Below are 23,341 nucleotides of genomic sequence, written 5' to 3'. Positions count from 1 at the left end.
TGGAATGTTGTCTCCCCATGGCTCACTCCTTCAATTCCCAGCTCAGACATGTGTGTCCCTCTCAAAGAGATCTTTCTTGTGAGATCGTACCTTCCCATTACCATGTCCTGCTCATACTTTTTTTTTCTTAGTGCTTACCACTTTTTGGCATTATACCATATATCTATTTGTTTGTTTCCTGCCTTAGGTGCCAAGAGGGCATTAACTCTGTCTTGTTCACTGCTGAACACTTAAGTCCCTGGCACTTAAAGTTGTTGGCAATCGTTAATTGGTTTAACTGAAGGAATGAGAATATGCTCTACATCAGGCATGCAGTGGGAGATGAGGCTGGATCTCCTGGTCCTGAGGGGTGCCTCTGGTGCTTGAGAATGCAGATCTGCACACGGGCCCTCCTACCTGAAGCTCAGCTGTAGAAACAGAAACTGGTCCCAACTTCTGTCAGAGGAAACACTGGCTACATGAAACTTACCAAGGAATGGCACACAGACCTCCAGGGAAACCCTAAGGAATTTTCATGGGAACTTCTGACTGAACTTCAGTGTTGCTTTTTACGCTGACCTTACAACTCAGTCCCAGAGTCCAGGACTCCACTATACCACTGAGCACTGCCGAGTATCTTTACTTATAAATTGCTTTCTTCTTGACTGAGAAATAGACTTAATTCCACCAAAGAGAATCATCCCCTGATTTCTTCACACACTATTAAATTATTATTAGTAAGCTAGTAATGTCCTCCCTTTTGCAGAAGCTGGGGACAGCTGGAATCTCAAGTACGTCACCAATACTGAAAGGTCAAGGGCTTATTAGTTCCAAGCTGATTTCTCAGGGCTTCTGACAACCGCAGAGGTAGCTAATTAATTTTTAACATTTCTAGATTCTGCCATATACTTGGCTGGCAGCAGGAACCTCATATTGATAATACCTCCCAGGCTAAAAAAATGTTTTAGAAGAAAAAGCAACTATTCATTGATTCTCTACGTATTATGGCTCCTTAGAAGGCAGGAAATGATTTTAAAAAGCACACAATTCAAAATATATATTTTTTTATTTTAGAGATGAGGTCTTGCTCTGTTGCCCAGGCTGCAGCACAGTGGTGCAATCAAGGCTCACTACAGCCTTGAACTCCTGGGCTCAAGCAATCCTGCTGCCTCAGCCTCCTGAGTAGCTGGGACTACAGGCATGAACCACCATGCCTAGCTAATTAAAAAAATAATTTTTTTTTAAAGATATGGGGTCTTGCTATGTTGCCCAGGCTGGTCTGGAACTCCTGGCCTCAAGCCATCCTTCTGCCTCAACCTCCAAAAGTTCTGGGATTACAGGTGTGAGCCACTGTGCCCAGCCATAACTCAGTTATTTCTAACATGGACTACTCAGAGTTGTGACAGAGAGAGGAAAGGCTGGTGAAGAGGAGCAAAGCCATACGCCACGGAGATGACAGCAGGTAACACTATTGAGTTCTTATTACTTGCCAAATACAGTCCCAAGCCCTCTTCATTTTCATAACCACCCTGTGAAGATTGTAGAGATGAAGAAGGTGGGACTCGGTGACTAAGTAACCTGCCTGTGCCATCCAGGCAGGAAGAGGTGGAGCCCCAAATCAGACCCCAGTTGCCAGGCTCTAGAGCCTTTACTCTGAATCTGAGCCATGTGGTCCACATGGGGAAGAAGGATGACAGCAATTTTCTATGTCAAACTGTCCTTTACATTCTCCACAGCCTCATCTCTATTCTTTCACAGTTTTCTCTCTAAACAAAAAAGTAATACATGTAGATGGCAGAAAAAATTAGAAATTAAGAAAAAAAAGAATAAAACAGTTTCCATAATTCTATTTCTCAGACAGAATGTTAATGCTTTGGTCTATCCTTTCAAACTGCATTCTCTGTGTATTTTGCCACGAGAGACAATGCCTCACAATCTCTTATAACAACTTGTAATTTTACTGTGACCATTTTCCCACAATAGTCTTTAAAATCATCTTTTATCTTCTTTTCTGAAATCTCTTTTAATTCATAGGTAACCCTCCTCCCTTATTTTTCTTGCAATTTTTTTGCTGAAAAACCTGGTCATCTGCTCTGCAGGTCTGTCACACCTAGAATTTCCAAGCTGCACCCTCATATCTAACATGCTTCTCTGTCCACTGTATTTCCTGTAAACTGGCAATATAGGCTTGAATCAATTCAGATTTGAGTTGGGGCTAGAACATTTCTTAGGTAGTATTGTGTACTTCCATCAGAGAGCACATACTATCTGCCTGTCTTTTTTTTCCACAACATTATTTTAAATGGCCACATAACATTCTAAAAAATGCTGTACCATACTTTTTAAAAAAAGTAGCAATCTCTTATATTGTTGGGACATCTAGCTCTTTTTAACCCAAACTTTTCCCTAGAACAACTAAAACTGCAACAAATATCCTTTTAAATACATTGTTGTACACATAAGTAACTATATCCTTGGGTGAGAATCTTAGAATACTGTTTTAAAAACATGTGAATTCACTGGCACTCTCCCTAACAGCTCATTGTGACTATCAACCATTTCTAATCAGGCTCCTGGCTTTGTCTTAAAATTACACATTGATCACAGGAGCTCCCAAGCTCCCAAGAGGTACATAAGGACTAAAAAAAAAAAAAAAAATGGCACTAATATGGAAAGAAAGTTGCAACAACAGAAGTACACTTCATGGGGGACACTGGCTGCTGGGTGCAAGGGTGCTCACTGTGAGCTGGTGCGCCTGAACTCGCCCCCGCCTTTCACAGCCCCAGAGAGGGTGACTTCCAGATACATGAGGTACAGTGATTTGACTTCAAGAAAAACAGAACTGACCAAATGAGATCAACAATGAATAAAAGGAAGCCAGGAGTCATCCTAACTGAGAAAAGGCAATTCAAAGAGACACGTACCTCATGCCAGGAATTCCCAAGGTAGTTGCCATCGGTGTGAGCCACTGTGATAAGCGTCTTAATGGTGTCGATGTTTTTCTGCTTCATTTCTGTGATGCTGGAGCTGGCTGTGAGTAGGGAGAAGCGAGCAAGAGCCTGAACATAGGCATCTCGTTCCAGCTGTAACAGAAACCCAAGAGAGAACACTGTGACTCCAACCTTAGTGTGGCCATTCTCACATCTGCAGGGCTGGCACACTGGGCTTCTCTGATACTTTTTGTATGCACATTGACTGGCTTTCTGCACATTAGCACAACAGTTATTCCATGCTAATGCCCTCTTGCTTTTGGAACATCTTGCAGAGGTATCTATGCACTGCCACATGTTTGAGAAGCAGCTCTCTCCTTTCTAATTGACTTCAGTCAAACTCACCTGTCCCATGTTCCACTATGTCTGTTGAATACTAAGACTGTCACACAAATTGACATCTGCAACAATTCTGCCAGGCAGGTCTGTTTTCTCAAGTTTACAAATGAGGAAATGAATTGGTGTCTCAGAGAGACTTTAGCTGAGCCAATGTCACATGGTTGGAGAGGTGGCAGAGTGGGGTCTTGAAACCTAGATGGTCTAACGTCAAAGCTTGTGGTCTTGGTATAAAAGAAAATGTCTAACTGTAAAATGAATAGGAACAGAAGATTGAGTTTTTAAAAATAAATGGGGTGCAACTTCTGACTTACAAAGTGATGCATGGGATTGTCAACCTCCTAATTTCGTAACAGTTTCAGAATTACATTTCATTTATTTGCTTGAACTTTTCAAGTTTCAAAGGTTTACAGACATATTCATATTGCATTGAACTACTTGTTTCTCCAGGGAAGAGTTGGAAATATGCGAAATTATAATAAAAACTGATGTTAAAAAGGAAATAGTATTTTTAAGCACCAAAGCAGGCAAGTTAGGCAGATGAACACGAAGTCTGCTTTGTCAAATCCAGTCAAGAAGCTTGGACCCTACCTATTATTATTATTATTATTTTCTTTGAGATGGAGTTTCGTTCTTGTCACCCAGGCTGGAGTAAAATGGCGCGATCTCGGCTCACCGCAACCTCCACCTCCTGGGTTCAAGCCGGTCTCCTGCCTCAGCCTCCCGAGTAGCTGGGATTATAGGCATGTACCACCACACCCGGCTAATTTTATATTTTTAGTAGAGATGGGGTTTCTCCATGTTGGTTAGGCTGGTCTCGAACTCCCAACTTCAGGTGATCTGCCTGCCTTGGCCTCCCAAAGTGCTGGGATTACAGGCGTGAGCCACTGTGCCCAGCCTACCCATTCTTAAAGACAGTTTTAATCCGTATCTCCATTTTTGCCCCTAACGAGCTGTCATCACAAAGCTACGGATTTCTTGTCAGTAGGCATAAGTAAGTAGCTTGCTAAGAGTCTTGATTAACTGAAAATTTCTGATAATTTCTAAGTTTTGCCAAATCTAAAAGAGCACAACCCACCAGTATCTCTGGAGTGTTGCTGACTTACACCTACCTGCATTCCAAAGATGCAGGCGATTCGGATTGCACATCGGATGCCTTCCAAACACAAGGAGGCCACTTCAGTGTCATCACAGTTCTGGAGTCCGATGCTGTAGGCTGCCAATAGTGGCGTCCACACCAGCTATCATGGAAGGAAGATTTCAATAACATCCAGAGTTTTAGCGTGGAAAGAGTACTTCTCGCTGGCCAGCTTCAGAATCAGGCTTAGCCACATGCTTGCTAAGTTCTCAGGATACTCACTTTGAACATTGGCCGGACATGGTCCAGGTGAGTGGCACTGGTAAACGGGGCTTTGGCATGGCTCACAGCCTCCATCAGAGCTTTGGCTGTTTTAGCCATTTGCTCCATCTCTAAGTTGTACAGCAGCCGCCGCTGCTTTTCACTAGCTACATCTGTAAAGTAAGAGCATGATAGGTGTGGCTAGCAGTCACTGAGGGCTGGCTACATGCCATACACTGTTTCAAAAGATGCACAATGATTAACTCCTAAATCCTCCCAACCATCTCGTGAGTCCATTACAAATATTATTATTACCATTTTACAGATGGGAAAAATGAGGCAGAGGGGGTAAGTCACTTGCCCAGGGTCATACAATTACTAAGTAGAGGAGCTGGGACTTGATCTAAGGCAGTGTGGCTCTAGAGCCACACTCTAAACCACTACCCTTTGCTGCTTCTCAAACAGTGAAACTGACAGCTCCCCAGGGGCCATAACTAATAGAATTCTAATCAAGGCGGACACAATCTGAATTAAAGAAAAGTTTTAAAGAACACTTTTTGGGAGTAATTTAGTTCTCAGATTACTAATTTTAAATTCCTTCTTGCTCCTCATCAGAAATCTAGCAAGACAGTGACATTATAAAAGTCCCAACATAATCACAATAATTAATTCAATCACATTTCCTATTCAGATATCCAGCTATGCACATTAAATTTATCACCAGAGTATTTAATCATGCATTCTGATACACTAAAAAATTAGAACTAAAAGAAATAATTTGCCATTAGACCTTACTCTGCTTAGTAGATTTGGTTGCAATCGTTAGCTCTTTTGTTTCTTTCATTGCAATTTTCTTGCCTTCTATCTCTTCATAGATGCTTGAGAGATACTCTTCTGGCAGATCTTTACTATCATTGATACCCCGATTCATTTTAATATACTGCTCTTTCGTCATTTTATTTTTTACCTGTAATTAAAAAAAATTAAAAACCATTTAAAAAACATCCAATTGCCCAAGTAAAGCCACTTATTTAGCTAATACAACATGTAAATCATTAAAGTGCTTTACCTGAGGACTGTGCAAGTCTGTAGTCAGCATAATAATTGAATACGCTAGGACATAAGCAGTGTCAGCACTAGCAAACAGAGTTTGCCTGGAGAAAAAAATTCGAGACATCAATATTCATGGTGATGCGGTTTGGAAGGTACAATGCTAACAGAGACACACTTCACGAGAAAAGCAGCCGACTACTCCCCTTGATTCCAAATGAGGCAAGAGTTTTTACGCTTTCATCATCACTGAACAAGACTTAGCAACCCAGAGTGTAGAAAAAGCTCATTAACAATCTGTATCAAATTTTAGCTTCTTTGGCAGGGCGTGGTGGCTCAGGCCTGTAATCCCAGCACTTTGGGAGGCCGAGATGGGTGGATCACCTGAGGTCAGGAGTTCGAGACCAGCCTGGCCAACATGGTGAAACCCAATCTCTACTAAAAATACAAAAATTAGCTGGGCGTGGCAGCGGGTGCCCATAATCCCAGCTATTCGGGAGACTGAGGCAGGAGAATTGCCTGAACCCGGGAGGTGGAGGTTGCAGTGAGCTGAGATTGTGACACTGCACTCCAGCCTGGGTGACAGAGCGAGACTGTCTCAAAAATAAATAAATAAATAATAAAAATTGAGGCTTCTTTGAATAAAGCAATTTCAAATAATTTTTTTTAAAAAGACTCTAAGAAGCATCTGGGGCCAAGACTAGGGTGAAGCAAGTGAGCACATCAGGAGACCTTACACTTGGTGCTGACCCTGAGAGAGGGCATCTCACTATATTTCACACACTAAGCGCTTGAGTGCCTCCCCCACCTTGTCCTGTTCCTGAGAACATCTATTTTGTGCCATGTACTGTGCTAGACATGAGATATAAAGATGACTAAAACTGCTGTTTAGCTGTTATTTATAGTCTATATTACCCATTATAACATTTAATAGTAGAAATACCATGGAAAATATTTATGTTGTTCTAAACAATATGTTGGTGAAGTCTGACTTTTTTGCCTTAGGCAAGAAGAGAAGGACAACATGTGGATGTACAGCTTCATACGATATGAGGCTGAAGCTAGAAACTGTTCTGTCCAAACTGTCCATAACAGGAACAGTAGAAATTTTGAAGAACACAACAAAGGTCTTTTAATATGAGATGAAACTGGGTCACATATTTACTGACTGAGCAAAACAGACCAAGGCTCCCAGGTCCACATAGGAGATACGTTTAAAGTAAACAGCATCTAATTATGCCTTCATAGAGAGTTCTAATGTCCATTTGGTTAAAATGATGATATGCTGCCTTTGCCAATCCTGCCACCTCCTGGGGACAGCCTGCCATACACTTGGAAGACTGGGAGCAATTAATATGAAAACAAAGTTGACCTGAGAGGCAAAACAGTTATTAAAATGTTTCAATCAGGTGTGGTAGCTCACATTTGTAAATCCCCCACTTTGGGAGGCTGAGGCAGGAGGATCCCTTGAGGCTAGGAGTTCAAGACCAGACTGGGCAACACGGTGAAACTCTATCTCTGCAGAAATATTATACAAAAAATTAGCCAGGCACAGTGGCATGCACCTGTAGTCCCAGCAGTTCAGGAGGCTGAGGTGGGAGGACTGATTGAGCCCAGGAGATCCAGGCTGCAGTGATCTGTGATCACCCCACTGTACTTCAACCTGGGCAAGAGAGCAAGACCCTGTCTCAAAAAAAATAGTTTCCACTGAACAATTTCCACATCATGGTCACAGCATATTCAGACATATTTCTAATTTAATGTTCAGTGGAGAGAACATGAGTTTTTTTTTTTGAGACAGAGTCTGCCTCTGTCATCCAGGCTGGTGTGCAGTGGTGTGGTCTCGGCTCACTGTAGCCTCTGCCTCCCAGGTTGAAGCAATTCTCCTGCCTCAGCCTCTGAGCAGCTGGGATTACCCAGCTAATTTTTTTTTGTATTTTTGGAAGAGACGGGATTTCACCATATTGGCCAGGCTGGTCTCGAACTCCTGACCCCAAGTGATCTGCCCGTCCCGGCCTCCCAAAGTGCTGGGATTACAGGCAAGAGCTACTGCATCCAGCCCGAACATGAGCTTCTGAGTTAGAGAAATCCATATTCAACCCTGGCTCTGCTCCTTACTAGCTGATTAATTTTGGACAGGTTGCTCAATCTCTCAGATTCTCAATTTCCTCATCTGTAAAACAGGGATACTATTCCTGGGCTTGCCATTAATTAAATTAAATGCATGTAAAACCCATGGCATGGCCCACACACAGGAGGTATTTAATAATGGTTTGTTCCCCTTCCTATTTCCACTTCTTACAAAATCACGAACCGCCCATCAAAAAAGGTCCCCAGATAAAATCATGTACTTTGGTGGTTTTTATTAGTTATGTAGCTATTTCTGTAACCTGCTCATCAGTATGCAATTAAAGAAAAACCAAAATCCTTGAGATCTACCCCATATATTAAATCAGGGGAACTGTTTTTGATTAGGGAAGAGGTGCCCAATTGTCTCCTCTCAACTTATGAAACTACTCTTTTATAGTTGCTAACAGCATGGGCTTTAGCTGTGTGATCTTGGGCAAGTTAACCTCTCTGGTCCTCAATCTTTTTGTCTGTAGAATAGGGACATAAACAGGTTGCTGTGAGGTCTTATGTGAAATAATCCCTTAGCACAGTGCCTGGCACACGGTAAACAAAAGCTTCAGTTGCTTGGCACAGATATACAAAGATTAAACCCCAACCAAATTAGAATTAGCGTTCTGAGGCAGGCAAACAGATGATCTGGAAGGGACTCAAAATCGGCGCTCACCCTTGGTTGCATTCTATGTATCTTGCGGCAAACTTCTCCATTAATCGGTCAATCTTTTGGGCTTCTCCAGGTAGGCGGAAACCTTCTAGGAATGTCCGCAGGGCTGAGACAAATTCTTTTTCACAGAAGTCAAGTTGGTCCACGTAGGCATACATCACCTCCTTGTTGAACCTTGCGCTATCTCCCAGAAAATCGCCTACTTGGGTCTGAAACATACACACTCACTTATATCCAGAAATTGTCAAATACGAACCCTCAGCAAAAGCCAGCAGCCAAAGGGTGGAGTCAGAATAGCCTGGCCCTAACTGCCCAGAATAGGCTGGACTGGTAAAAAAGCTAGGGAACTCCCTGACCTGCCCACCCACCCACCCATTCCAGAAGCAGCCTGTCCTGCATGGATGAAGGAAGAGGAGGGGGCACAAGAGACTTAAAATGGAGAGAATGACGGGGCACACTAAGGAGGTTAGTTGCAGACAGGCAGCCGTAAGAACTTTCTAGCAGTCAAGGAACACTTCCAGCTCTGACTCTCTTCCAGCAAATATGCAGCCACCTGCTGGGAGGCTAGTTTATTCCCATCAAAGAGCTTTCTGCAACACTAGCCAACGGGATACACAGGACTGCTGTAACCCGGGGGTGGACAATAGACAATGTATAACCCGGGGGTGGACAACAGACAATGTACTTAGGGCCAGACAATCTCGAGGTTAAAACTGGTAAGGGCTCACAATCACCTGACAGAACTCACATGCAAGTGCTACACCCCCAAGCCTTACGGAATCCAGGCGCTCCTCCTGGTGCAGGAATTGGGCTATGTCTTCAACTGACGTTCCCAGCATGCCCTGCTCCTGGAGAAACTGGATCCCCCTCTTGGGTTTCTTGTTGAACCTGTTTCAAGCAGAGATGGGACACAAGTTGCTTATTTCAAAATCTGGAGGATAGCAAAAGCTGGTATTTGAGATAAATAATAATAGAATACTATGAACATGCCATCACGTATAAGCTAGCAAGGTCATGTCTGTCCTGGCAGCTTTTCTAAATTCCACCTTCAATTTCTGACCCAGCTATACCTGGTCAGAGTCTGCTGATTGTCACCTCATATCCACTCTCCCCTTCTCCAACACTAATAGAACCCTACGTGTTAGCTGGACACACTGCCATGTGGAATAAAAAGAACATTTCCCTGCCTCCCTTAAATAAAGGATGGCCATGTGATAAACTTCTAGCCAGTGAGATATGAGCAGAAGTGGTGTGGGTACTTCTAGGAAGGACCCTTAAACAAAGCTGACTCAGGTGGGAAGTCTGCTTTTTTCTCTTTTTGTTCTTTCCCTCCTCCTCTCCAGAATGTTTGTGGGATGGCTGGTACTCCAGCAGTCATCTTATACCATGAGGCCACCCTCTCTGGCTAAGTATGGTGAAGCAGACAGATAAAAGGAGCCTGGATCTCTGATGTCCTTAAGGGCCACCGTAGCAGCCTTAGACTGTCCACTTTTGGATTTCCTTGAGAGAGAAATACATAGTTAAGCATGTTATTTTGTATTTATTTTTTTCTTTCTCTACTTTTTTTTTTTTTTAAGAGACAGGGTCTCACTGTGTTGACCAGGCTGGTCTGGAACTCCAAGTGATCCTCCCACCTTAGCCTCCCAACGTGCTGGGATAACGGGCATGAGCCACCATGCCCAGCCCATTTTTTATTTCCTGCTAAAGGAAGGCAAAGCTAACCAATGTATAGACTCAACTTATTATTTACCAGGCCTGAGCTGGAGGGTGATATTCATGAGTAAGCACAAACTGGCAAGCGTCATGAAAGATACAAATAGGGGCAAGGGCAGAACTTAACTTGGGACCTGTTTAGATAGTGCAGTTGCTGAAGGCCTCTTTGAGTAAGAGATGTTTTACCAAGTCTGAGGGATGGAAAAAAGCCAAGAGAATTTCAAGCACAAGGCACCATGGTAAAAAGAGCTGAAGGTGTTCAAGGGACTGAAAATACATTGTGTGACTCAGGGGAATTGGCAGGAGATGAGATCAGCAAGGGAGGCCAGGGGCTGGGTCAGGCCATGGTGCAGAACAGGAAACCTGGAATGATTTAGGCAGGAGAGTGATAAGACTTGATTTATGTTTTAAAAAGATTACTTTAGCTGCTGTGGGCAGAATACACTAGAGGGAGGTGGAGTGGCGGCAGTAGAAATGAGAAGATCAAACATGTCAGTTAATAAGTGAGTACTGTAATTTCAACTCTTAAGTTGAACTTACTAAGTTAACTAATCATTTACAAGTTGGAATATATGATTGTGTATGTGTTGATGTGTGTAAAAGACTGGAAAGAAACATAAAGATTTGCCAATGATTGTGATGATGGTGCTGTGGTTATATGGGAGAATGTCCTTTATTTTTCAAAGAGATTCAGTTAAGGTCTCATGATGGCTACCAATTACTTTCAAAATGGTTCAGAAAAATATATACGTAAATAAAACAAGTAAGATTCCGTCCCAAGATGGCCAAATAGGAACAGCTCCGGTCTGCAGCTCCCAGTGTGATCGACGCAGAAGACGGTGATTTCTGCATTTCCAACTGAGGTACCTGGTTCATCTCACTGGGACTGGTTGGACAGTGGGTGCAGCCCACGTAGGGTGAGCTGAAGCAGGGCGGGGCATCGCTTTACCCGGGAAGCGTAAGGGGTCGGAGGATTTTCCATTCCTAGCCAAGGGAAGCCATGACAGACTGTACCTGGAAAATCGGGACACTCCTGCCCAAATACTGCACTTCTCCAATGGTCTTAGCAAATGGCACACCAGGAGATTATATCCTGTGCCTGGCTCAGCAGGTCCCACGCCCACGGAGCCTTGCTCACTGCTGGCTCAGCAGTCTGAGATTGACCTGTGAGGCAGCAGCCTGGCAGGGGGAGGGGTGTCTGCCATTGCTGAGGCTTGAGTAGGTAAACAAAGTGCTGGTGAAGCTCGAACTGGGCAGAGCCCACCACAGCTCTGCAAGGGCTGCTGCCTCTATAGACCCTACCTCTGGGGGCAGGGCATAGCTGAACAAAAGGCAGCAGAAACTTCTGCAGACTTAAACATCCCTGTCTGACAGCTCTCAGCAGTGGTTCTCCCAGCATGGTGTTTGAGCTCTGAGAACAGCCTGCCTCCTCAAGTGGGACCCTGACCCCCATGTAGCCTAACTGGGAGACACCTCCCAGAAAGGGCCGACTGACACCTCATACAGGCGGGTGCCCCTCTGGGACGATGCTTCCAGAGGAAGGATCAGGCAGCAATATTTGCTGTTCTGCAATATTTGCTGTTCTGCAGCCTCTGCTGGTGATACCCAGGCAAACAGGGTCTGGAGTGGACCTCCAGCAAACTCCCACAGACCTGCAGCTGAGGGACCTGACTGTTAGAAGGAAAGCTACAAACAGAAAGGAATAGCAACATCAACAAATAAAATGACATCCACACCAAAACCCCATCTGTAGGTCACCAGCATCAAAGACCAAAGATAGATAAAACCACAAAGATGGGGAGACACCAGAGCAGAAAAGCTGAAAATTCTAAAAACCAGAGCACCTCTTTTCCTCCAAAGGATTGCAGCTCCTCCCCAGCAACAGAACAAAGATGGATGGAAATGACTTTGACAAGCTGACAGAAGTAGGCTTCAGAAAGTCACTAATAACAAACTTCTCCAAGCTAAAGGAGGATGTTCGAACCCATCGCAAGGAAGCTAAGAACCTTGAAAAAAGATTAGACGAATGGCTAACTAGAATAAACAGTGTAGAGAAGACCTTAAATGACCTGGTGGAGCTGAAAACCATGGCATGAGAACTACATGACGCATGCACAAGCTTCAATAGCAGATTTGATCAAGTGGAAGAAAGGGTATCAGTGACTGAAGATCAAATTAATGAAATAAAGTGAGAAGAGAAGTTTACAGAAAAAAGAATAAAAAGAAACGAACAAAGCCTCCAAGAAATATGGGACTATGTGAAAAGACCAAATCTACGTTTGATTGGTATGCCTGAAAGTGACAGGGAGAATGGAACCAAGTTGGAAAACACTCTGCAGGATATTATCCAGGAGAACTTCCCCAACCTAGCAAGGCAGGCCAACTTTCAAATTCAGGAAATACAGAGAACACCACAAAGATACTCCTAGAGAAGAGCAACCCCAAGACATATAATTGTCAGATTCACCAAGGTTGAAATGAAGGAAAAAATGTTAAGGGCAGCCAGAGAGAAAGGTCGGGTTACCCACTATGGGAAGCCCATCAGACTAATAGCGGATCTCTCAGCAGAAACTCTACAAGCCAGAAGAGAGTGAGGGCCAATATTCAACATTCTTAAAGAAAAGAACTTTCAACCCAGAATTTCATATCCAGCCAAACTAAACTTCATAAGTGAAGGAGAAATAAAATCTTTTACAGACAAGCAAATGCTGAGAGATTTTGTCACCACCAGGCCTGCCTTACAAGAGCTCCTGAAGGAAGCACTAAACATAGAAAGGAACAACTGGTACAAGCCACTGCAAAACCATGCCAAATTGTAAAGACCATCGATGCTAGGAAGAAACTGCATCAACTAACGGGCAAAATAACCAGCTAACATTATAATGACAGGATCAAATTCACACATAACAATATTAACTTGAAATGTAATGGGGATAAATGCCCCAATTAAAAGACACAGACTGGCAAACTGGATAAAGAGTCAAGACCTCAGTGTGCTATATTCAGGAGACCCATCTCACGTGCAGAGACACACACAGGCTCAAAATATAGGGATGGAGGAAGATCTACCAAGCAAATGGAAAGCAAAAAAAAGCATGGGTTGCAATCCTAGTCTCTGATAAAACAGACTTTAAACCAACAAAGATCGAAAGAGACAAAGAAGGCCATTACATAATGGTAAAGGGATCAATTCAACAAGAAGAGCTAACTATCCTAAATATATATGCACCCAATACGGGAGCACCTAGATTCATAAAGCAAGTCCTTAGAGACCTACAAAGAGACTTAGACTCCCAAACAAAAATACTGGGAGACTTTAACACCCCACTGTCAATATTAGACAGATCAACAAGACAGAAGGTTAACAAGGATATCCACAACTTGAACTCAGCTCTGCACCAAGTGGACCTAATAGACATCTACAGAACTCTCCACCCCAAACCAACAGAATATACATTCTTCTCAGCACCACATTGCACTTATTCCAAAATTGACCACATAGTTGGAAGTAAAGCACTCCTCAGCAAATGCAAAAGAACAGAAATCACAACAAACTGTCTCTCAGACCACAGTGCAATCAAATTAGAACTCAGGATTAAGAAACTCACTCAAAACCACACAACTACATGGAAACTGAACAACCTCCTCCTGAATGACTACTGGGTACATAACGAAATTAAGGCAGAAATAAAGATGTTATTTGGAACCAAGGAGAACAAAGAAACAACGTACCAGAGTCTCTGGGACACATTTAAAGCAGTGTGTAGAGGGAAATTTATAGCACTAAATGCCCACAAGAGAAAGCAGGAAAGATCTAAAATTGACACACTAACATCACAATTAAAAGAACTAGAGAAGCAAGAACAAACAAATTCAAAAGCTAACAGAAGGCAAGAAATAACTAAGATCAGAGCAGAACTGAAGGAGATAGAGACATAAAAAACCCTTCAAAAAAAAATCAACGAATCCAGGAGCTGTTTTTTTAAAAAAGATCAACAAAATTGATAGACTGCTAGCAAGACTAATAAAGAAGAAAATAAAGAGAAGAATCAAACAGACACAATAAAAAATGATAAAGGGGATATCACCACCGATCCCACAGAAATACAAATTACCATCAGAAAATACTATAAACACCTCTACGCAAATAAACTAGAAAATCTAGAAGCAATGGATAAATTCCTCGACACATACACCCTCCCAAGACTAAACCAGGAAGAAGTTGAATCCCTGAATAGACCAATAACAGGCTCTGAAATTGAGGCAATAATTAATAGCCTACCAACCAGAAAAAGTCCAGGACCAGATGGATTCAAAGTCGAATCCTATCAGAGGTACAAAGAGGAGCTGGTACCATTCCTTCTGAAACTATTCCAATCAATAGAAAAAGAGGGAATCCTCCCTAACTCATTTTATGAGGCCAGCATCATCCTGATACCAAAGCCTGGCAGAGACACAATAAAAAAAGAGAATTTTAGACGAATATCCCTGATGAACATCAATGTGAAAATCCTCAATAAAATACTGGCAAACCGAATCCAGCAGCACATCAAAAAGCTTATCCACCACGATCAAGTCAGCTTCATCCCTGGGAAGCAAGGCTGGTTCAACATACACAAATCAATAAACGTAATCCATCACATAAACAGAACCAATGACAAAGACCACATGATTATCTCAATAGATGCAAAAAAGGCCTTCAACAAAATTCAACAGCCCTTCATGCTAAAAACTCTCAATAAACTAGGTACTGACGGAACATATCTCAAAATAATAAGAGCTATTTATGACAAACCCACAGCCAATTATCATACTGAATGGGCAAAAACTGGAAGCATTTCCTTTGAAAACTGGCACAAGATAGGGATGCTGTCTCTCACCACTCCCATTCAACACAGTGTTGGGAGTTCTGGCCAGGGCAATCAGGCAAGAGAAAGAAATAAAGCGTATTCAATCAGGAAAAGAGGAAGTCAAATTGTCCCTGTTTGCAGATGACATGATTGTATGTTTAGAAAACCCCATCGTCTCAGCCCAAAATCTCCTTAAGCTGATAAGCAACTTCAGCAAAGTCTCAGAATATAAAATCAATGTGCAAAAATCACAAGTATTCCTTTATGCCAATAAGAGACAAACTGAGAGCCAAATCATGAGTGAACTCCCATTCACAATTGCTACAAAGAGAATAAAATACCTAGGAATCCAACTTACAAGGGATGTGAAGGACCTCTTCTTCAAGGAGAACTATAAACCACTGTTCAACGAAATAACAGAGGACACAAACAAATGGAAGAACATTCCATGCTCATGGATAGGAAGAATCAATATCATGAAAATGGCCATACTGCCCAAGGTAATTTATAGATTCAATGCCATCCCCATCAAGCTACCAATGACTTTCTTCACAGAATTGGAAAAAACTACTTTAAAGTTCATATGGAACCGAAAAAGAGCGCACATTGCCAAGACAATCCTAAGCAAAAAGAACAAATCTAGAGGCATCACACTACCTGACTTCAAACTATACTACAACGCTAACCAAAACAGCATGGTACTGGTACCAAAACAGAGAGACAGACCAATGGAACAGCACAGAGTCCTCAGAAATACCATGCATCTACAACCATCTGATCTTTGACAAACCTGACAAAAACAAGAAATGGGGAAAGGATTTCCTATTTAATAAATGGTGCTGGGAAAACTGGCTAGCCATATGTAGAAAGCTGAAACTGGATCCCTTCCTTATACCTTAGACAAAAATTAATTCAAGATGGATTAAAGACTTAAATGTTAGACCTAAAACCATAAAAACTCTAGAAGAAAACCTAGGCAATACCATTCAGGAACTAGGCGTGGGCAAGGACTTCATGACTAAAACACCAAAAGCAATGGCAACAAAAGCCAAAATAGACAAATGGGATCTAATTAAACGAAAGAGCTTCTGCACAGCAAAAGAAACTACCATCAGAGTGAACAGGCAACCTACAGAATGGGAGAAAATTTTTGCAATCTACCCATCTGACAAAGGGCTAATATCCAGAATCTACAAAGAACTTAAACAAATTTACAAGAAAAAAACAAGCAACCCCATCAAAAAGTGGGCAAAGGATATGAACAGACACTGCTCAAAAGAAGACATTTATGTAGCCAACGGACACATGAAAAAATGCTCATCATCACTGGTCGTAAGAGAAATGCAAATCCAAACCACAATGCGATACCATCTCACACCAGTTAGAATGGCGATCATTAAAAAGTCAGGAAACAACAGATGCTGGAGAGGATGTGGAGAAATAGGAACGCTTTTACACTGTTGGTGGGAATGTAAACTAGTCCAACCATTGTGGAAGACAGTGTGGTGATTCCTTAAGGATCTAGAACTAGAAATAGCATTTGACTCAGCGATCCCATTACTGGGTATATACCCAAAGGATTATACATCATGCTACTATAAAGACACATGCACACGTATGTTTATTGCGGCACTATTCACAGTAGCAAAAACTTGGAATCAACCCAAATGTCCATCAATTGTAGACTGGATTAAGAAAATGTGGCACATATACACCATGGAATACTATGCCTCATAAGAAAGGATGAGTTCATGTCCTTTGCAGGGACATGGATGAAGCTGGAAACCATCATTCTGAGCAAACTATCACAAGGACAGAAAACCAAACACCACGTTTTCACTCATAGGTGGGTACCAAACAATGAGAACACTCAGACACAGGGCGGGGAATATCACACACAGGGGGGCCTGCTATGGGGTGGGGCGCAGGGGGAGGGATAGCATTAGGAGTAATACCTAATGTAAATGACGAGTTAATGGGTGCAGCAAACCAACATGGCACATGTATACCTATGTAACAAACCTGCACGTTGTGCACACGTACCCTAGAACTTAAAGTATAAGAAAACAACATAAAATAAAATAAAATAAAATAAAATAAAATAAAATAAAATAAAATGCCTAAAAAAATAAAACAAATAAGACAAACAGTAATGTTTTGGTATGCTGAAATTTTTCATGTAATATATAGTTGGAAAAAAATGCACCAATGGTGATTCCCTCAGGCAGTAATTTTTTGTTGTTGTTGAGATGGAGTCTCACTCTGTCACCCAGGCTGGAGTGCAGTGGCGCAATCTCTGCTCACTGCAAGCTCCGCCTCCCAGGTTCACGCCATTCTCCTGCCTCAGCCTCCCGAGTAGCTGGGACTACAGGCACCCGCCACCACGCCCGGCTAATTTTTTGTATTTTTAGTAGAGACAGGGGTTCACCGTGTTAGCCAGGATGGTCTTGATCTCCTGACCTCATGATCCACCTGCCTCAGCCTCCTAAAGTGCTGGGATTACAGGCGTGAGCCACTGCGCCGGGCCATCTCAGGCAGTAATTTTATGAGTGATTTTTACATTCTTACTTTATACTTTTCTGTATTTTCTAAATTGGTTTTATTATTTTCATTAGAAAAGGGGGGAAAAAAGGCTGCATCAACCACACAAAGGTATTAAAGTTTTCTCTCTCTGTGTGCACAGACACACACACATACGCTCATTTACTGATTGCCTGGCTCAATCAGGCTTAGCTACAAGTGCCAGCACCAGCCTTTTGTAAACAGGCATTTCCTTTTTAGGAATCAGTTCCAGGTTCCCAGAGAAAATATGGCTTTGCTAGAATCCCTGCTAGTTAACGGCAGCCCCACTCACAGCTCGATGCCGTGTTCAATGATTTCTTTTTGTTGCTTGATGACCTCAAATTGCTCAGGGTCATCCTGAACAGTTGTCTGGGTCCCCGAGGACACTGTGGACTCCATGGACGTCACACTACACCGTCTTGCCATGTCAAGGCCTTTCCCATCCCCTATTTCCTGATCCGTGAGCCTCTCCTGACCTGCGGAGAAACAAAAGTAAAGGAAGCCAAATAAGCAAGTGGGACACAGACACAGCCGAGCTAGGTCTGGCTGCACGGCTCCCTTTCCCAAACCTGTAATAGCAACAAGTCAATACTATAAGGATTATAAGCATGAAACCTTAGTATCATTCAGATACTTTACTTAAAAACTTGTTTCCTCATGAAACTTGATGAGCTAATTCTTTTTTTTTTTTGAGATGGAGTCTCGCACTGTCACCCTGGCTGGAGTGCAGTGGCACGATCTCGGCTCAGTGCAACCTCCACCTCACAGGTTCAAGCTGTTCTCCTGCCTCAGCCTCCAGAGCACCTGGGATTACAGGCGCCTGCCACCACACCCGGCTAATTTTTTGTATTTTTAGTAGAGACAGGGTTTCACTATGTTGGCCAGGCTGGTCTTGAACACCTGACCTCGTGATCCACCACCCTCGACCTCCCAAAGTGCTGGGGTTACAGGCATGATCTGCCGTGCCCAGCCTTGATGAGCTAATTCTAAAATTCACATGAAAGAGTAAAAAAGGCAAAAAAAGATCAAGACAACTTAAAGAACAACGAATAGGAGGACTTGCCCTACAAGATACCAAAAACAAGTGTGGTACTGGTGTTAAAACAGACAAATAAACAGAACAGAATAGAAAATCCAGAAAGAAGGCCAGGCACAGTGGCTCACGTCTGTAATCCCAGAGCTTTGGGAGGCTGAGGTGGGAGGATCGCTTGAGCCCAGGAGTTTAAGGCTGCAGTGAGCTATGATTGCACCACTGTATTCCAGCCGGGTAATGGAAACAGACTCTGTCTCTTTAAAAAAATTAAAACTCCAGAAACAGACTTACGTACATAGGAAAATGTGGTATATCATAAAGGTGATGCTTTGAATCAGTGAGGGAATGAACAACTACTAAAAAGGCACTAGAGCAACTGGCTCTGTATTTGAAACAATGAAGTTACAGCATAACTTCACACAACTCCAGATGCAATAAAAAGCAGGACTTTCAAAATAATATAGGTATTTAGCAAACTAAAAAGGCTTTTTCAATTCTAAGACAACTATACTAAGACAACTGTTCCTAGCAGTCGTAGGAGCCTATTATGAATGGAGGTGGGTGTGGCAGCAATGCTGTCTCACCGAGGCTGGTCTGGTGGTTGGGATTCACATACAGGTCTTTGCTCCACTCCACCATGCACTTGAGAATGGACACGAGGCACTCCAGGCCTTTCTTCCTCAGGCTGAGCTCCTAAGGGACGAAGTCACACAGGAAAGAGACTTAACAGAAAAATGAAGAGAACAGACATCTACGAGGCTTTCTGGGACCCCAGTGAGGCTAAGAAAGAAATCACTGACAGTCAGTGCTATTAAGAATGAAACAAACCCAGAGCTAAGAAGTGACAAGTATCAAGGATACATTGCAAAAGCCCTGGACATCTCTAAAGGTGCTCATTATAAACACCCCAGCAGCAAAAATATGGGATATGTGTTTTCCTAAAATGAACAATGTTATTTGGATTTTCAAAAGAAGTTTTCATTCATTGCTTATGTGATTAAAAAAAAATTTTAAATTTTTCTATTTTTAAAAAAATAACAAGATCTTGGGCAGGCGCTGTGGCTCACGCCTGTAATCCCAGCACTCTGGGAGGCTGAGGTGGGTGGACCACCTGAGGTAAGGAGTTCAAGACCAGCCTGGACAATATGGTGAAACCCCATCTCAAATCAGCCGGGTGTGGTGGCAGGCACCTGTAATCCCTGCCACTCAGGAGGCTGAGGCAGGAGAATCACTTGAACCTGGGAGGTGGAGGTTGCAGTGAGCTGAGATCGCGCCACTGCACTCCAGCCTGGGTGACAGAGTGAGATTCTGTCTCAAAAAAAAAAAAAAAAAAAAAAAAATTCACACTCAAATAATAAATAACAAGGTCTCAACCAGTGACTGAAAAAAAGGAGAAAAGAACCTTGAATTATGCTGTAAGTGACTCTGGATACAACGTATCCCCTAAATACCCACAAATGCATTCAATTTTAAGGCTCACCCTTTAAGTAAATAAAAATACTGATTTTCAAAAATAAACAGCATTCTTAAATAACAAGTTGAATATGAGTTGCAGATCATCTAAAAAAATTGCAAATATTTTAGATTCAAAACAGCAACTCGGACAGCATAGATCTCTGTGATTCTAATGACAACTATGACCATCTTTTAGGAAAAATGCCCATATACCAAAATTCTACACACAATTCCAGGGAGCTCGGAGACCCTCTGACCAGTTCATTCAGAAACCTACAGTTAAGCATCCTATTTTCTTTGTAGGTGCTCTAATGAGGTATTCTGCTACTAGCCAATCTCCTTTGCCCCTATTGCAGACTGGGATCCTGTTTTCCACGCTATCTTTGGAAGGGTGACTGAGAATGAATTTGCTTCCTATGGGTCTCAGCTCAAAGGTCACCTTCTAAGGGATACTACCCTAATGGCCCCATTAAGAATTACAGCACCCCACCTTCAGCACTTCCTCTCTGCCGTCCCTGCTTTATTTTTCTCTGCAGCCCCTATGATCATCTGAACTGACTTCTTTAATGTCGTTTCATGATGGCAGGAAGTGTGTGAATATGCATTCCTGTTTTGTTCACTGCTGTATCAAGGACAGTGCCTGGCATGTGGTGGCACTCAATAAATGTTTATTGGAATGAATAAACTTTAATATAATTGAGTGTCCACAGTGTTTTTACCTGCAGAGGTGTCATTCCCAGCTCATGTCCACTTCTTCCCTGAGCAATTTTGGATAAATCATTTACAAGGCGCTCAAAAATGTTAGCAGCATTTAAATCACAGTCGTAGTTGACATAAATATCCACAACACACTGGGCATCTTGGAAAATAACATACAAGTATCAGAAATTCTGATCAAATAGCAGTTAGGTTTTCTTATCAAACAAGATGTTTGCCAACAAATTTCCCCAGTGAACTACAGACTCCGGTGGCCACATCTCACTCAGGAAACACATGTTGGAAGTACTAGGAAGCTGGAAGACAGGAGGTTGTTTTTAGGCCTGCTTCTGAGCAAATTGAAATCTCAGGCAGTTCATTCCACCCATCCAAGCCTCAATTTTCTCATCAAGGAAGGGGTTAACAATTGCCTGACCCACCTCTTAAAGTTGTGTCACTCTTACAAAATTACATTTGATGCCAGACAAGCAGGATGCTTACTTTGAGGCCACACAATTGTATAGTGTAAGGTAAATCCACATTTACCGTAGCACCCAATCAAAAATTGGCAGCACCAGTATCTTAGGTCCTGTGATTAACAGTACTCAGCTTGTAGGTAACGTAACCAAGTGTCCCAGTTTGACGAGATTAGGGGGTTTCTGGGACATGAGACTTTTAGTGCTAAAACCAGGAAGTCCTTGGCAAACCAGCCTAAGTTGGTCATCCTCTAAAAAAGGAGAGGTGGGGCAGGACTAGGTTAGAATTAGCCTTTTATTGCCAATCCTTTAAAACTCTAAAAGGAGGGGTTAGAAGTCTTAATCTGAGCTGTGGCAAATTAAAGCATCAGAAGTCCAGTGGATGAGTGTCCCCAGGTGGAAATACCTGCACAGATCCTCGTCAGAGTCTGAATGACCATCCACCTGTGCTCAAAAGAACTTGTTGATGTTTCTAAAATGTTCAGGAAAATCTCTTTGAAAAAGACCTATATGACATAAAGACAAAGGAGGACACTAATTAACAGTTTCAACCAGGGCTCAAAACCTCCAAAGTCTTCAGCAGCCAACCCAGTCGTGCAGTAAGTAAAGCACCCTGGGCAGAAGAAGAGTGGAGTGCCCACCTGGCTGGGCAGCAACGGGACCCTGGCCTTGGTGGGGACGGCTGGCAGGGTGGGGCCCACTGGGGAGCTGCCAAGTGGAAATGCAGGACCCATACTGTGACTTTTTGGAGAGAAACCAGAAATCTGGATTTTCATGTAAAATAGGATTTCTCAATTTGGCGACTAATCTAAATGATTTCAAACAATTTACAGACCAAACAGATATGTTTAGGGGGCTGAGCCCAGCAGACAGACCATATTGGTTAAAATGAAAGGCACATAAGATCCGGGGGCAGTAACTTTTTTTTTTTGAGATGGAGTCTCGCCCTGTTGCCCAGGCTGGAGTGCAGTGGTGCAATCTTGGCTCACTGCAAGCTCCGCCTCCCGGGTTCATGCCATTCTCCTGCCTCAGCCTCCCGAGTAGCTGGGACTACAGGCGCCTGCCACCACGCCTGGCTAATTTTTTGTATTTTTAGTAGAGACGGGGTTTCACCATGTTAGCCAGGATGGTCTCGATCTCCTGACCTCATGATCCGCCCGCCTCAGCTTCCCAAAGTGCTGGGATTACAGGCGTGAGCCATGGCGCCCAGGCTGGGGGCAGTAACTTTTTATAAAAAGATATTCTCTTACTCATTCAAAAAGTTCTGATTTACTGGGGTGCCAGCCGATGAATATGCCATTTACCCTCCCTGCCCCTGCCCACTTCTGAGTTCCAGGATGGTAAGATATGAAACATTTTCATGAACCATTTTCCTAATGCTTAGTGTAATATTAGCAGCATTCTCAATATTGAGTATTATAATTAATGACTAATAATAATAGTAAATAATGAAATGAAAAAACTTTGGAATCCGTACCTCTATCTGCATTTTCAAGTGCATTTTAAAGTTTGAAAGAAGAGTAAGAAAAATGGCAAGAGAGAGCTCAAAGACATCAGGCACTGAAGAGACGCCGTTTTTGGACAAGGCCACACAGAGATATTGCTTGATTGCATTGATGAACATCTCGTGAGTCCTGAATACGGGGCCAGCATTTTGCAACACAGAGAGGAGCAGCTGCAGGGAAACCACCTTGGAACGCAGCTCATGGGATCTGGCAAAGAAAATGAAAAACCACAACAGTGCTAAAAGAAAAAATGTCAAACAGTATGTTTCTTGAGAAGGCCTTGCTCCTTTACCAATGAGTAGAATTTTAAAGAATTAATAGCACCTAAATGTCAGGAGAATGAGGGCAGATGGCATGAGTTGGGTCCTTCTGGAATCGCAGGCCCTTTGAGAACAAGAGCTGCCAACTCCTATTTGTCTCTTTCCATCACAAAGTAGAGAATACAGCAGGAGCAAAGTGTCAACTGATTCTGGAGAGCGAGTTCTGCAACTGTACTGCAAGAATCAATGACTTTACATCACTTGTGGGAGGCTGAGACACCTGGCTCACTCTGTTTCACACACCAT

At 42.7% G+C, this 23,341-nt stretch overlaps 1 protein-coding gene across 3 annotated transcripts in view; it reads right to left on the bottom strand.

The window, feature by feature from the left end:
• Window positions 1-23,341, bottom strand: part of ARFGEF2 (ARF guanine nucleotide exchange factor 2) — a 114,983-nt gene that overhangs the window by 42,592 nt on the left and 49,050 nt on the right. For all 3 annotated transcript variants that reach the window (NM_006420.3, NM_001410846.1, XM_047439832.1), the window contains 12 exons: window positions 22,748-22,982; window positions 21,677-21,776; window positions 20,818-20,957; window positions 19,228-19,336; window positions 17,903-18,086; window positions 9,262-9,373; window positions 8,489-8,694; window positions 5,714-5,798; window positions 5,440-5,611; window positions 4,666-4,817; window positions 4,418-4,546; window positions 2,904-3,062 (listed from right to left, as the gene is read on the bottom strand). In NM_006420.3, the coding sequence (NP_006411.2) occupies window positions 2,904-3,062; window positions 4,418-4,546; window positions 4,666-4,817; window positions 5,440-5,611; window positions 5,714-5,798; window positions 8,489-8,694; window positions 9,262-9,373; window positions 17,903-18,086; window positions 19,228-19,336; window positions 20,818-20,957; window positions 21,677-21,776; window positions 22,748-22,982 (1,783 nt within the window). The remainder of the gene's footprint in view (window positions 1-2,903; window positions 3,063-4,417; window positions 4,547-4,665; window positions 4,818-5,439; window positions 5,612-5,713; window positions 5,799-8,488; window positions 8,695-9,261; window positions 9,374-17,902; window positions 18,087-19,227; window positions 19,337-20,817; window positions 20,958-21,676; window positions 21,777-22,747; window positions 22,983-23,341) is intronic.

This window comes from Homo sapiens, chromosome 20 (genome assembly GCF_000001405.40).
Source record: "Homo sapiens chromosome 20, GRCh38.p14 Primary Assembly".
Lineage (NCBI taxonomy): Eukaryota > Metazoa > Chordata > Mammalia > Primates > Hominidae > Homo > Homo sapiens.
Note: the sequence above shows the minus strand (reverse complement) of the source record. Positions and strands in the feature narration are given on the sequence as shown.